Source organism: Homo sapiens, chromosome 10 (genome assembly GCF_000001405.40).
Source record: "Homo sapiens chromosome 10, GRCh38.p14 Primary Assembly".
Taxonomy (NCBI): Eukaryota; Metazoa; Chordata; class Mammalia; order Primates; family Hominidae; genus Homo; species Homo sapiens.
Genome location: NC_000010.11, coordinates 79807259 through 79824651, shown reverse-complemented (window position 1 = coordinate 79824651; position 17393 = coordinate 79807259). Strand labels below are relative to the sequence as shown.

Sequence of the window (17393 nt, the reverse complement as noted above, 5' to 3'; positions counted from 1 at the left end):
CAGGCAATGACTTTATGACTCAGTGATTTCACTCCTGGGCATTTACAGCAGAGTAATTTTTAAAAACCACGTTAATTCAAAAACTTTACACAAATATTCAGAACAGCTTTATTTTTAATAACCCCAAACTGGAAACAACCCAGACATTTTTGAAGGTGTGAATAAGTTTAAACAAAATGTATTACATTCATGCAATGAAGCACTGCTTAGCAACAAAAAGAAACAAGCTATTGATATAGACAACAACTTCCATAAATTTTCAGAGAATTATGCTGAGTAAATAAATCTGACCACAAAAGATTATATGATGTAGAATTTCCCTTGTAGAACATTACTGAAGTGACAAAATTATGAGAATGGAGGAAAGATTAGTGGTTATCAAGGGTTAAAGATGAGGTGAAAAAGAGGAAAATAGATGTGGCTAGGAAAGAACAACATGAGGGATTCCGTGGTAATGGAAATATTCTGTATGTTGACTATATCAACCTCCACATATTGGTTATGATATTGTACTATACTTTTGCAAGATGTTACCACTGGGAGAACTGAGATAAGGTTACAAGAAATCTCTCTATATTATTTCTTATAACTGTAAGTAAATCTACAATTATATCAAAATTTAAAGGTTATTTTAAAAAGAGAGTTCTTAATAATTCTTTCTCCCAACCTTAGAAATTAGAAAAGGAAGACTAAACTGAGCACAAAGCAAGAAAAACGAATAAATAATACAGATTAGAGCAGAAATCAATCAAACAGAAAATAAAACAAAAAACAATAAAGAAATTTAAAGATCCAAAGTTTGAATCTTTGAAGAGATAAAATTGAGAAATACTTAGATGATGAATAATAAAAAAGGCCGGGCATGGTGGCTTACCCCTGTAATCCCAACACTTTGGGAGGCCGAGGCGGGTGGATCACTTGAGGCCAGGAGTTCGTGACTAGCCTGGCCAACGTGGTGAAACCCCATCTCTACTAACAATACAAAAATTAGCCAGGCATGGTGGCAGGTGCTTGTAATCCCAGCTACTCAGGAGGCTGAGGCAGAATTACTTGAACCCAGGAGGCGGAGGTTACAGTGAACCCACATCCTGCTATTGCACTCCAGCCTAGGCGACAGCAGCAAAACTCTGTCTCAAAAAAGAAAGAAAAAAAAAAAAGAAAGAAAAAAGAGATAATGTGTTGATTACCAAAATCAGGAGCAAAGGTTACTACTACCAATCCTCCCCCATCCCATCCAAATATATGAATTATAAGGGAAATACTATGAAACACTTTGTGACCACAAATTATACAACTTATATTTAAGGTAGAAAGTCTTAAAAATATATAAATTACCACAGCTGAAATAAAAATGAATAGAAAATCTGAATAAATATGTTGAATTAGCAATTAAAAGTCTTTCATAAGGAAATATACAGGACCACATGACTTCACTGGTAAGTTATTTTGCATATTCAATGAAGAAATGATACACATACTCAGAAAATAGAAAAAGAAACTTCCCAATTGATGTTATAAGGCCTATATTCAAAAGCAAAAATGAAAAGAGAAAGAAAAAAATTTTTAAAAAGAAAAAAATAAAAATTAAATTACAGATCCATATACCTCACAGATATAGACACAAAAATCTCCAATAAAATATTATCAAACTAAATTCAACCATATATAAAAATGATTGCACTCCATGACTAAGTGAAATTAATCCCAGAAATGCAAGACTGTTTTTGTATTTTAAATACAAAATGTAATGTAATATACTATGTTATAAAATGAACTAAAATGAAATGATTATCTCAATGATGCAGGAAAAGGATTTGACAGAATCTAATGTGAATTAATAAAAAAAAAAAGAATGGAAATTCTTCAACCTGATAGAGGACATCAACAACAACAACAACCAAAAACACTACATTTTACAGCATAGCTAATGGTGAAAGACTGGATATTTGCCCCTCAAAATTGGTGACGTGCCAAAGATGTCTATAAAATTTACTCTTCCTAATTCTATCCAATATTGCACTGGAAGTTATAGTCAATACAATGAAGAATACATCAATAAAGCCATCAGGAAATGGAAGTGGCTGGGCTCAATAGCTCAGGCCTGTAATCCCAGTGCCTTGGGAGGCCAAGTCAGGAGGCTTACTTGAGGCCAGGAGTTCAGAACCAGCCTGGGCAACAAAGACAGATCCTCTTCTCTATGAATTTATTTATTTTTTTAAATTAGCCAGGCATGGTGGCATTCACCTCTCAGTCCTAGGTACTCAGGACGTTGAGGCAGGAAGGTCACTTGAGCCAGGAGTTCAAGGTTGCAGTGAACTATGATTGCAAGTTACTGCACTCCAGCCTGGTAGATAGAGAAAGACACTCTATCTCTTAAAAAAATTAAGATAATAATTATATTCACAATACTATACAAATAAACCCTTGGAAATACATTTAGCAAAATATGTGTAAGAATTGTATGCTGAAAACTAATAACCTAAGCAAATGGAAAATCATTCCATGCTCATGGATTGGGAGACCTACTCTTGTTTTTCTAGTAATTCTCCCATCATAGATCTATAGATTTAATACTATTGTTACCATACATTAGCCATATTATATGAACATAAATATTTCATTTGTGAGCCTCATATCTAATTATTTGTTATTTACATATAATTATTTTAATATTAGCTCTTTGAAAAGCACTTTAAAAATGGTTCCCTGAGACCTTGGCTTTCAAGTTCTAATTAAACTATTCAATATGAACTAGAAAATTTAGTAAACAAAGTGTCATCTTCTGCCTTATTATCTTTTTATTTGGAAAACTGTGTTAGACTCCAAGGTATTCTCTCCTTCAATGTAACAGAAGTAACCAGTTTAATTGTTCAGAACCTGACATTTATTTAATCATGTCTTCTTAGTGTTCAGGTTTAGTGTCTTCAATGACTGGATGCCAATCTGCTTCCTTTTTGACTTTCCTAGGCTCGGATTCATCAGATTCTCTACTTGCGTCATTTGCAATGGAAAGACCCTCCCACAGGGTAGAGGTTATTCATTCTCTCTCTCTCTCTCAGTCTCCACCACAATTTTTGCCAAGAGCAAGTCAGGTTTTTGGTCAAGCTAGGTTTTTACTGCATGCTTTCCTTCAACTAAGTGTGAAAGAAATCTATTAAATAATATTTAATTTGGTCTCAAATGTGAACCATACTCTCCAACCTAGTATTTCTACCAAATAACCATGAACTGAAATTTACTTCATAGTTTTGACCTTCATAAATTGTTTGTTTCCCCATTTATCTCCAATTCTTATATGTTTTTAAATTATTGATATCAACTCTGGAGAAAAGAATAAGTCTTACACCCGGCATAACAACAGGTACAATTAAAGAAGTATGTTCCTTAACATGAGAAGAATGTTAACCCATTTCAATCACAAGTATTTGATTTTTCCATGAGTAACACTATGCTATGCATTGTGGAGTTTACAGAAGAGTTGAGATATGATCCTGACTTCGTGGTACATAATTTCATTTGATAGGGCAAGGCATATGTAATTCAGTAAAGATATAGATGTTACTGATGTACATGAGAGCCTTGTGGGCTGAGTTCCCTTATAGAAGTGGAGTTTGTGCAATCTTGAAAATGGGTAGCATCTGGATAAGAAAAGAATCAATCAAGTAAGAGAAATGTCCCCAAATTGCTTCCACAATGTCAGAGCAGCTTCCTTCAGAAAAAGCTACATAGACATTTAAATTTAAAATTATAGCATCTTACAAACAAATATATAAATACTATTTACTTTTATGTCTAATACATTTAGAGAAAGTATCTAAGTCAATGTTAAAAATTCTATTTCAAATGCTCGCATGCATCTTCTTTCACTAATGAAATAATAGTGAACCGTGTTTTGAAATCATCAGACACTTCAAAATTAGTTTTCTTTTCAAATAATGCAACGTAGTAAAATGTGGACTTGCAAAGTTCTTATTTTACTGTGATTCTTCTATGAAAATAATGTAGAACTATTTAAAATTTTTCCTTAAATTTTCCACATGTGTAAAGTAGGTAAAACACCACAAGCAATATTTGCTGAATTATTACAATGTATTACATGTCTTTTACTTAATATGAGTTATACACTGAGAACTTTTTTTTTTTTCACAATAATTCTCCGAGATGAAGATAAAGTGGATGAAAACTGGAAGTAAAGATGTATTCACCCTACAAGACTTAATAGTGAGACTGCGCTTAACTCAAGATTGCGTTGGCCAAGGGATTAAAGAGGCAGAGGAGAAACTGCTTCCAATGTTGTTTCCCAATAAATCAATAAAACTTGTCAGGGGTTTTCATCCAAGGAGAGAGTAACACTAATCTCTATCTTCATGTATACATTTTTTCCAGGCTTTTGGAGCTTGTCAATGATTCCCAAACTTGGCTTTATATTAGACTCACCCAGAGACCCATTAAAATCCCAGTGTCACCAGGCATGGTGGCTCACACCTGTAATTCAAGCTATGTGAGAGGTTGAGGCAGAAGGATCCCTCAAGCCCAGGAGTTTGAGGCTGCAATGAGCTGTGATCATGCCACTGTACACTAGCCCAGGTGATAGAGTGAGACCCTGTCCCCTTCTCCCCAAAAATCCTGATGTCCAGGTTATCAAATTAGAATTTTTGAAGGTAGGATTGAGGCAGTGCTACTAAAAGCAAAGACAAAAAGAAGCAAGCAAGCAAACCACTTGATTCTAATATGGAACAAAGGTTGAGAATCACTAGATAGAAAAAGAAAACAAATTCATCAATACTGATCGTCTATTACCTTTAAATGACCTAGATCTCAAGAGATCCCAGTATACAAAAGCTTTGGCTAGGACCTGAGAATCTATTATAATTAGCATTTTCATTAGTCTTAATATCTCACTCATATCATGCACAAAATTCAATGTAAGATGGATCACAGACCTAAATATGAATGCTAAAGCTTCTAGAAGAATACTTTGAGGAACATCATAATGATCTTGGGTGAGATAAATAATGATTTTTTTTCTAGAGCAGAAAATGTATTAAACATAAAATAAAAATTGTGTTAATGTTTTTACTATATTAAACTTATATTCATTTATTCAAAAAAACCTCATTACATATGTAAGGAACTCCTACAACAACAGAAAAAAATAACTTAAAAAGGGGGGCAAAAAGATTGAATAAATTTTCTTCAAAGACATACAAATAGCCAAAAGGTATATGAAAAGATGTTCAACATCACTAATGATCAGAGAGATACAAATAAAAGCCAAAATATTATATCACTTACCACTCATTAGGAGAGCCATTATGAAACAAAACAAGACATAACAAGTGTTGGCAGTGATGTGGAGAAACTGGAACCCTTGTACGCTCTTGCTGGGGATGTAAATTGGTTCGGCCACTGTGGATTACAGTATGGAGGTTCCTCAAAAAAACTAAAAATAGAACCAATATATGATCCAGCAGTCCTACTCTTGGGCATATGTCCAAAAGAATGGAAATCAGGATGTGGTAGAGTTACCTGCATACCCATGTTCTTTGCAGCATTACTCACAAAACAACAAAATTTGAAAACTTAAATGTCCATCAGCACATAAATGAATAAAGAAAATGTGGTGTATAAATACAATGGAATATTTTCAGCTTTAAGAAGGAAGGACATTCTGCCATCTGCAAGAACATGGATGAACCTGGAGGATATCATGATAAGCCAGTCACAGAAGGATAAATTCTGCATGATGTCACATATATGAGCTTTCTAAAATAGTCAAACTCATAGAGAATAGAATGGTTAGGGGCAGGAGGAAGAAGGGTTGCTGTTCAACAGGTATAAAGTTTCAGTTGTGTAAGTTGCGTAAGTTCTAAAGATTTTCTGTGCAACATCACGCCTATACTTAACAGTGCTATATTGTACATTTAAAACCTTACTAAGAGGACAGATCACAAGTTATGTTTTTACCTCAATGAAAAATGAATAGAAATGTCGCAGTTAGATAACACATTTGAAATACATAGACCTGACAAAATATTTCAATGGAAAGTAAATAAATCCTACAAATTGTTATGCAGAAGTTACATCACTCAATTAGAAGTGGGCAAAAGACTTGAACGGTCAGTTCATAAAAGAAGACAGCCAATTGGGGAATCAGGATAAGAAAATGTGCTGAACATAGTTGGTCATCAGAAAAAATGAAAATAAAAACCTCAGTGAGATGTCATTACGTATCCAAGAGAACTGGTAAAATTAAAATGGCTAAATACCTGGAGACCGATATGGGAGGATAGCTTGAGCCCAGGAGTCCAAGGCTGCAGTGAGGTATGATTGTGCCACTCCACTCCAGCCTGTGTGATAGAGCAAGACTCCATCTCTTAAGAAAAAAAATTGGGGACTGAATATAGCAAGTGTTGAAGAGGTTATGAAGCAAAGAAAATCTCATACATTTGTGGTGGGAGAGTAAATTTACAGCTATATTTTAAAGAAGTTTGGCAATTTCTTATAAAGTTAACCTGCACACATACCCAGTGACATCGTGATTCAATTTATAGGTATATACCAAAAATAAATGAGGGTGTGTATTCACACAATAGAGACCTATATAAAATTATTCACAGCAGGTTTTTTTTGTAGGCAAAAACTGGATGTAACATCTATAAAGTGGAGAAGAGATAAATTATGATATTGACTTACAGAGTAATAATACATAGCAATACAAAATAAAATATTGACACATAAAACAGCATAGATGAATCTCCAAATCATCATGTTGAGTAAAATAGGTCAGACACAAAAGCATATGATTCCAGACAAATTTGACCAGTGGTTGTTATCGACTGGAATAAAGCAGCACAATATTTTCTGTGGTAGTGAAACTGTTCTTTATCTTGATATGGCTGGTGTGAATATGAGTGCAGAAATACATAAAGTTAAGGTACACATCTTAAATTTGTTCATTTTATGAAATATAAATTTGGCCTTGGTAATGCACCTCCAAAATTTTTTATTAAGGCTATAATTAAATTTATATTTTTCTTTATAAAAATGAGTGATGTATCACATTATATTTGAATATTTTTCTAATAGAAGACCTTATGGCTTAAAATTGAGTATTCTGTTTAATACTTATCATAAATTTATAATTTAATAAGTGATTTATAACTGCACAATAACATTACAACAATTTTATGTTTAGGTAAAATTGTCTTTATTTTAAATTTAAGTAGTACAGCAACTTTACATGGCTTACCTAAACCACACAATTATTAAGTGATATAATTGGGACTGTAATCCAGGGCTGTTTCTAAGTAATATGTTCATTTTTCTTCAAATTGATAACTTGAATACATCTTTTGAAAAAATATTTATTAATTTTTTAAATTTAATTAAGATACTTTCAACTTACTGAAGATTATGTGGTTCTTATAACACTAGATGGGTTAAAGTCATACTTTTGACTTCTATTATTTATGTGATTTTATGTGATCTTGGCCATTCAGCCTTTTTTGGTAAAAAGGGAATGATAATATCTCTCAAGAGTATTGCAAGATTTAAATGAAATTAAATGCGTTGAAAGCTTCTGTAAGAAACGTACAGAGTGCATAGAAGAATCTCAATTTTTATAAGTTTCTCAATTTTCCCTTTACATTTTCATTCTTATTGTCATCTGTCTCTCACTGATGCTGCTGCTTCTCATGTCGCCCCCTAAGTGCAGACTAGTTCTCACCCTCAGCGCTCTAACCACTGCCTCTAGAAGTAAAATAAGTGTCCTCTTGCAGAATACTTCTACTTCCTTCTCCTCAAACCCCTCCAGCTTAGAATCTCATACCATTTGATTATATTGATCACTCTCCCAATGTTTAGTCACTTTCCCTCATTCTTTGCAGTCTTTACAACCTGACTTAACTGCCATTATTTTGATGTCTCATTTAAATTACTTACCTTCTTTGACATTTGACCTCGTCATTTCCAATGTACTTGCTATCTTCAGTATCTAGCTATTCAATCTCATGATCTCAGCTCAAACCACGTTATTACTAATTGCAAATTTTTACAATCTAACTTTTAAGTCTCCTGCCTTCTGAACATTAACTTCTATCTTTCTAGTTCATTCCATTTACTACAACTTCAAAAATACTGTGACTCATCCTGGATCTACACTCTCATACAATATACAATACAGTCCTTATACAATTCTCAATCCAGTTTTCTCCACACATCCTTTACTTCTCAGCAAACCCACCTTCAAAACATTTAAGTAATTTTTACTACTGCTGTTATCCACCCAGGCCAAGCCAAAATCATGTCTCATCTGAATTTTTATCCCCCTTCCTGCTTCTGCATTAGCCCTCACCCTCAGTCTATTCTCAATACCCAAGCAAGAATATAACATAGTATCATGGAGATCATGCCACTCTGCTCACTCACTTTTAAGGACTTCTAATTCCACTCTGAGTCATTATTGTACAGATTATACAGCTCTACTCATGCTCCCCACCAGGCACACCTCTTTGATTACAGCCCTGTTGCTCTTCCCCTCATGCCTCTGTTCCAGCTTTGCTGTACCCAACACTTCCTGGTGCTCTTTGGGCAGGCTGGGAATTGTCTCTGTGTTAGCCCATTCGAGCAGCTATAACAAAATACCGTAGACTAAGTAGCTTATAAATGACAGAAATTTATTTTTCACAGTTCTGGAAGCTAAGTCCCAGATCAAAGTGCTCACATATTCCTTATATGATGAGGCCCTATTTCCTAGTTCATAGACCCATCTTCTTCTTCACATGGTGGAGTCGTCATATGGTGGAAGGGACAAACCAACCCCCTCAGGCATCCTTTATAAAGGCACCAATCTCCTTCATGAAGGCTCTGTATTCATGACATAATCACCTTCCAAAGACCTTAACTTTTAATAGTATCATACTGTGAATTACATTTCAACAGTAATGGGGGGGGGTTGTCAACATTCAGACCATAGCACTCTCACATTAGATGCTTTGTACATGGTTTCTCTGACTGAAAACACCTGTCTTCAAATTCCCCCCTGAATTGTTTCCTTATCTCCTGGATTAGTTCCTTCTCATGCTGCTAATAAAAACATATCCTAGACTGGGTAATTTATAAAGGAAAGAGTTTTAATTGAGTCACAGTTCTGCACAGCTGGTGAGACCTCAGGAAACTTACAGCCATGGTGGAAGGGGAAGCAACACATCCTTCTTCACGTGGTGGCAGCAAGGAGAAGTGCCAAGCAAAATGGGGGAAAAAACCCTGATAAAACCCTCAGAGAACATGAGAATTCGTTCATATCACAAGAACAGCAACGTGGGGGTAACTGCCCCCATGATTCAATTGTCTCCCACCAGGTCCCTCCCATGACATGTGGGGATTATGGGAACTACCATTCAAGCTTTAGATTTAGTGGGGGACCCAGTCAAACCATATCACCTTCTTCAAGTCTTTCACTCAAATGCTACTGTCTCCGTCATGCCTTCCTTATTTCCCTACTTAAAATTATATCTCCTCCTCGTGTTCTTTATTTGCTTTGTCTGCTTTACTTTCCTCCATAGCACTTAGCAACACTTAACATATTATGTAGTTTAATTATTTATGTTGTTACACATCTCCTTCCAAGAGAATGTAAGCTCCAAAAGGCATATTTTTCTTTATTTTCTTTTTTTCACTGCTATATCCGCAGTGTCTACAATAGAATGTGGTACAAGGTAGGAGCTTAATGTGAATGAATGAATGTTAGTCGTATTACCTTTTAAATTTACCTTATTTTCTAATTTTCTACATTTTCCACATTCCTTCATCCTTTCCACCTTCCTACATCCTGTGGGATGTGCATACAGAAAGCAGCAACATTAAGGTAAAAAGTTTAACCTTTGGATTAATATTTAAATCTTGAGACTGTTTTGTTTTTCTGTTGCCTTTAGCAAAACCATATTCCTGCTGCTGTCAGTTATGATGCACTGAGAAAACTTCAGAGACCTAAACTTTTTCCAGAGAAGAGAAGCTTTACTGGTGTTCCAGCCCTAAGGTGAGACCAGCTTATGCATCCTGGTTTATATTTTATTTTGTCGCCTTTATTCTCTTTCTCTTTATTTTTCTTTTCTTCTTTCTTACGTTGTATTTCTGTTTGGAAAAGACCATGTACAAACAGAGTAATATGTGGATCCATGCCTATCCATCTTAGTATAATCATGTATTCATTGTACTTTGTTGTATACATTTGGTACGTATTCTAAATATGGACATATGCTATGTATCATAATGTACATAACCATTTCTCTATTGATAGACTGTTACAGTATTTTCAATTTCTGATAACAGCAAAAATGATCCTTCAGTTGCTATCATCAATATTTATTTGTACATATCAATGATCATTTTAGAGGATTAAAAACAGAAGAAGAATTTTTAGGGAAACCATGTATAGTTAAAATGTGTATATACTTTTCACATTTTCATAGATAAAGAGCATCCCTATTTTTTTCCCCACTAACAACAAGACAAGATGGCTGGAGAAAAATAAATCACCAAATATCATAAAGATACTTGCATGTTTTATAAGTAATTAATAACTACTTTCTCATAACAGTAAAAACTATTTTGTTTTGTATGAGAGGATTTTTCTCTCTAAGTTTTAAAAAATCATTACATACAAATATATCACATCAAACCCAAAAGCCATTGCTAGCACACTGGTTCCTGTCTTAATATTAAGTATGAGATAAAAGGCCTTTATCTTCCAGAAAGTTGTTCATAACATGCCAAATATGTGAACACCCAATAGTCAAAGGACATTATCTCTATGATGTAATTTTGAAAGTTATTAAAATAATTGTTTATCAATTTCATCCTACAAGCACACAATTTAAACCATTCTTTTAAAGTGGATTTTAGAAGATTGGAATAGGGAGTTATAGAAGTCAATCCCTCCACAAAAACTGCCATTAAACTGGAAAAAATAAGAATTAACCTTTTTGGAACTCTGGATCCTAATCAGATAAATAACAACCATTAGTAGACTGCTTGATGCTATTGGCCTTTAGTAAGAAAATGGCTGTATGCACACACCAGATACCATCACTCATTCTTATTCACAAGAGTCAAAAAGTGAAAACAAACCTGTATGTGTAGATAAACAAAATGTGGCATGTACATACAAGGGAAGATTATTTAGCCATAAAAAGGGAATGATGTTCTGATACATGTTTACAACATGGGTAAACCTTGAAAACATTATGCTAAATAAAATAAGCCAGACACAAAAGGACAAACAGTATATGATTCTACTTATATGAAAGATCATGAATAGTCAAATTCATGCAGAGGGAATGCAGATTGCATGTTTCCAGGGCATGGAGGCTGGGGCAAGGGGAATGGAGAATTAGTGCTTAATGGTACAGAACTTCTGTTTGATGTGATAGAAAAGTTATGAAAACAGTGTTAATTATAGAACATTGTGAATGTATTCAATATCACTGAGTTTTAGAATTGAAAATGATTAAATGGTACCTTTTATGTTATGTATATTTACCACTGGGTAATAAAATTGTATTAATGTAGAGGCAATTTTAACAGTCGTACCACTCTGGAGGAAGATACTGATAATGAAGGAGGCCATGCATGTGGAGGCAGGATATATTACATATATAATACAATATATAATATATATTATATATACACATTATGTCAGGGGGTGTGTGTGTATATATATATATATATTATGTCAGGGTGTGTGTGTGTATATATATATATGTAATATACCCTGCCTCCACATGCTTTTTATATATATATAGTAATATATGGTATATTACCATATATAATATATATTACTACATATATATGGTAAATCTCTATGTCTTCCTCTTAATTTTTCTGTGAAACTGAAACTGCCCTAAAAAATTCAAGTCCTACAAAAATGAAAATGAGTTAAAGTACTTTTTTTTTTCTTTGAAACGGAGTCTCGCTCTGTCGCTCAGGCTGGAGTGCAATGGCGCGATCTCGGCTCACTGCAAGCTCCCCCTCCTGGGTTCACGCCATTCTCCTGCCTCAGCCTCTGGAGTAGCTGGGACTACAGGCACCCGCCACCGCGCCCGGCTAATTTTTTGTTTTTTTTAGTAGAGACGCGGTTTCACCGTGTTAGCCAGGATGGTCTCGATCTCCTGACCTCGTGATCCGCTCGTCTCGGCTTCCCAAAGTGCTGAGATTACAGGCTTGCAGGCGTGAGCCACCACGCCCGGCCGAGTTAAAGTACTTTTTCTGGAACAAAGAAACTTAGCATAAATAGTTAAAATAGTAAGAGTTGTAATTAAGGGAAATTTCAGCTCAATATGACTTCAACAGTTTAAAAAATGTATTATTTCACATAAGACCATGGAGAGAGGAATTGGAAGCCCCAGAATTGATTGGGTCAGAAATTGAAAATGATACTATCAGTGACCCAGGTTTGAATGTCTCTCTCCACAGCATTGACTTCACTAATGGATGTGACCTGGTTGGCAGCAGTAGCTTGCACAACATGCTTGTTTGCAGTGAGTAGTAGAGAGAAGGTTTTGCTTTCCCAGAAACTCTGAAAAAGGTCATCAAACCTAAATTTCCTTAGCCTTCTTCTTCCATGAGCAAATCACTAGCAGATGATTGCTAGCAAGGTGTTACTATTACAATGAACCCCTAAGTGTCAGAGAAAGAGTTAGTTTGGGGAAATATCCTCTCCACCACAATCTTAGTCATTGAAGTCAATTTAACAATATATTGAAATATTTTTCTTAGAAGTTTAAAGTTCCATTAAAGAGTAGCAATTACAGAAATTATAGGTAGCCTTTAGTTCTACAAGTGACATCTCAAAGGGGAGATGATTCATCAATTTCAAACTTTCCCTGAAAGTAATACTGGATGAAAATTAACTTGGCAAACATAATTAATAATCATGGGTTATTAATTACTTCTGCAAGGTGGGTGTGCTGATTTTAAAAGGCTTGAATAAAACATAAATTTCCTTAATTTATACTGTAAATGGAGTAATTTGGTGATGTAAATGGTAATATGTAAGTGACTTCTGCTTCAGATCTTACAACTTAAAATATTTTTCTAAAATTAGTTTTTGTACCATCTCTCCAGCATGTTCCAGCCTTTATCAGTCAGTCCAGGCTTCTATAACAAAATATCATGGACTGAATTGCTTACACAACAGACATTTCTCACAATTGTAGAAGCTGGAAAGGGCAAGATTAAGGTGCTAGCAAATTTGTTTCCTGGTGAGGGTCCTCTTCCCGGCTTGCTGTATCCTCACATAGCAGATAGAGAGAGAAAGAGAGAGAGAGAGAGAGCACTCTATAGACTCTCTTCCTGTTCTTCTAAGGACACTAATTCCATTGATGAGGGCCCTACGCTCATGACTTTGTCTAAACCTAATTAATTCTCAAAGGCCTCACTTCCCAACACTGTCACATTGTGGGGTAGGGCTTTAACATATGAAATTTGAGGGAAAAGGAATGTTCAGTCTAGAACAAAGCCCCATACATTTCAAAAAGCTGTGGGACAGGAGGGAATGGGGATGGTATTCAGTGGTACCACATCCAAGCAAGTCTTGTATGGTTAAAACAAATCAATATAATAACATGAAATTTTACACAGAAACCTATCTGATTATAAACTGTATGCTTACCATAGTCAACACTGATGTACATTGTTTTAAAAATACTTAATAGTGTTCTTTGTTTAACCAAATAATAGAGGTATTAACTAGTTTCCTAGTGCTGCCAAAAGAAATTGCTACAAAATTTGTGGCTTAAAATAGTAAAAAAAGAAAAAAAAAATCTCAATTATAGAGGCCAGAAGACCAAAATCAAGGTGGAGGCAGAGCCATACATCCTCTGACGGCTCTAGGGAAGAATCCTTCCTTGCCTCTTCTAGATTCTGTTGGCTCCTGGCACTCCTTGGCTTGTGACAGCATAACTCTAACCTTTGTCTCTATCTTCACATGACCTTGCTTGTGTTTCTGTGTCCCAAATACCCATGACTCACTCTAAATTCAGGATGATCTCACCCTGAGATCTTTATTATATCTGTAAAGCTCCTATTTCAAAATAAGGTGATATTTACAGGTATTGGAATGGGAGAGGGTCTAGGACTCAGACGCACCCTTATGAGGATACTACGTGACCCATTACAAGGCACAAAGTAATTACCATAGGCAAACCACTGATGAGAGCTCACTCCAGTTTGGAATATATTCACGTTTCCATATAAGAGAAAAATTCGTCCCTGGTTCAGTTCATCTTGGCATCAGTACACGGGTGGGATTCAGAGACATGTAGGTGTGGAATACCAGATTCCACCAAACTTAAAAAGCTGGCATACTAAGTTGATAAAACGATGTAGAGTGTGAAGTTGAGTTGAGAATGCTTATGCCATACAGTTTATGTATCTTATAATAGCCTTAATCACACTTCCAGTAATTTTCCCCATCATTGGGTGCTAAAAAATAAAATTAAAGAATTAGAATAAAAAATATATATACCTCTTTGAGTGGAAGAATGCTGTCAGCACATTTTGTTATTTTATTCCATTGTATAAAGTCTCCGTAGTGCTCTCTTCATAAATGTATTGAAGGTTTGGCTAAATTGTATCAAATTTGTGATTAAATACAAATGTGAATAGTATAAAACATTACAAAGGGCAATCTGAATACTATGCTATACCAATTTTACAATTTTACAGTGACTTACAGATGCCATAAATATTTACTTTAAGGGAGTAAAATAAGTTATAAAGTCATATTTAAGAACACCTAAATCCTTGAATAAATTTAAAATGGTATTATTATTTACGTATGAAGTCAGCTGACTATTGAAAGCTTATTTTTCAATAACAGAAATATATGCATTATCTAAAACACATATTCCAATATTTTCAAGAAACAAAATACTGAATTAAATTATCTGTATTTAAATGTTTATTTTGCTTATAAAGGTCCATGAAAATGCTTAAAATTGGTTTATTTGATCTAAAAAGTTAATATGCAATTTTTATTTTTAATGTATCATTTTTCCCATGTATTGTTTTCTAAATAACACTTTCATCCTAAGTAGATCACTGAAGAAACAAAATGCTGTTTTCTTTATGAACTCGTAATACATTTCACTAATAATTAGGATGCTGTTCAAGGTGTTGAAGTGTACAATATAACAAATTGCATTTGCAGTTGAATAGTAGCAGAGTAGAAGCTGAAAAAATAAATCATGTATAAAAGTAGCTTAAAACAGATGATAGCAGAGCAAAGAGTTTCCTGCCAACGCCCTCTAAAAATCGGTCCTTTTAGGCTTTTGTGCTGGTATTAGGTTTCAGTTATAGACAAGACATATATATATGTGACCTTTCCTTTCCTTTTCTATACCCTGGAGTCAAAGTCTCCTATAAAAGGACATTTGCAGCAAGTATTTTCAGCTGGAGTAGGAGGAAAGGGCAGGAGTAGGAGAGCAGTATGATCACCTCTTGCCAATGCAATTTCACTTGATTTGCAACTGGTGTTTAGTAAAGAATTTTGCTATGCAAAAATAGTGTCTTAATTGGATTATTGTAAGACAAAGTATGCATTTTTCATGTCGTATTAGTATTTTATTAATAAGGCTAGGGAAACCCACTAAATCCCTATACTAAAGTGAATTTGATTCTCCCATAGAAACTTAAATCCTCAGTGTGACACAACTCAGTCCTTCTACTGCAGCAGCTCTTTTATAAAAGCCTCCCAAAGCTCCAAGAAGGAACAAAGAATGTGACCCAGTAAGCTCACACCATAAATCTATATTGCAGAAACCTTTGTTCAAGAAAACGGCAGATGCTCTGTTGAATCCACTGGAGATTGTTCTGATACTAAGGACAAGTATGTAAGTTAATGATTTTATTTATCTTAACATTTTAAAATGTTTTCCTTTGGGGAATTCCAATTTATATATCAATATTCAGGTAATATTTGCTGAAAACACAAACAGAGTCAAAATGATCTGCATTCACATTCTCATTTTCTATTATAACATAGAGACAACTACTTTATTATCTTTTTAGAAACTTTTGCAACTACTTTAGTTTCTTCCTAATTTTATAAATTAATCTATCTCAAAAAACTTTGCCCAAAAGACTTAGTAATAGCTGTCAACTTCAGAAAAACTAAAACTTTAAAGATGACTTTTAGAAGGAAAATGAAATACAGAAATAATGTATCTCATTTGCACTTAATTAAAAATAATATGAATTGTCACTATTTCCTATGAAAACATCTCATGCCAATTTCTTTTATTAAGCTTGGATTTAAAAGATAATTTAGTTGAAACTGGTAGAATCTTAGTAAAATTATAACAAGAAATTTTTATATTATACATATAATATAGAATAATCATATTTAATTCCACTTGTTAGTCTATTCTGATTCTTTAGCAGGTTGATTCATAATTTGCCAACTTGGGTCAGAAATATTTTCTATTCTTAGCTTTTGCTGTCAGCAGAGATAATAATAATATAGAACCTGAACAACAAAGGATTGTGTATTGTTTCAATTTAATTAAAGTTGATTCCCTGCTTTAAGAGAGACTCACATTTTATATTTTATTTTTTTTATTAAAAAGAGAATGTAGATATTTGCTTTTCCAAATTTCCCATAAGATAAGAAAAACATATTTTTTCTTAATTACACCCTTGCTAAGTCACGCTAGCTGCCTGACCTTGGACAAAATTCTTAACCTCTTTGTGTCTCATTTTCAATAACTGTGAATTAAAGATGATTATTGTAGTATATTTCTCAAGGGATTATTGTGGGAATTAAATAAAATAATCCTCTAAAATGCTTAGTACAGATTCTGGAACATCATAAGCAGAAAAAATTAATAACTATTTTTTTAACTATATTATATGACATACTTTTTCTTTATGATCTTCAGGGGAATTTCTACTTATCTTAAAAACATATATAGATATTGATCTGCGGAGAAATATATCTCTGTTATTTCAAGGTCTGTGGATTACATAATGGTCAACTCTGATTGATTTACTGATTGATTAAACAAAATTTTAAAGCAAAACTAAAAATATTGCAGCTATGTTGGTTTTAACCATTCTAAACTCTGATGAAATTTGCTTTCTGTTTGGTTTGTGACTAGGAAGCTAAACATTATTTATTAGTAATAAAAATTTCTAGTGTCTAAGGAAATTCAAGAGGAAAACCATTAGATTTATTACAATTAAATCTGTTAAGATTTAATTGCAAATATGTAGATAGTGCAAATATATCTTAGGGTACAATTTTTGTTCTCATTAAGTTACCCATTTTACATTTTGAGAACACTAATAGATGAAATACTTGTCAAAGATCTAAGATGGTTTAAAGAAAATAT

General features: G+C 33.9%; 1 long non-coding RNA gene across 3 annotated transcripts in view; it reads left to right on the top strand.

The window, feature by feature from the left end:
• The window catches only part of NUTM2B-AS1 (NUTM2B antisense RNA 1), a 135095-nt gene that overhangs the window by 1943 nt on the left and 115759 nt on the right, over positions 1 to 17393 (top strand). For all 3 annotated transcript variants that reach the window (NR_120613.1, NR_120611.1, NR_120612.1), the window contains exons 2-3: positions 9936 to 10039; positions 15820 to 15893. This is a non-coding gene — a long non-coding RNA (NUTM2B antisense RNA 1). The remainder of the gene's footprint in view (positions 1 to 9935; positions 10040 to 15819; positions 15894 to 17393) is intronic.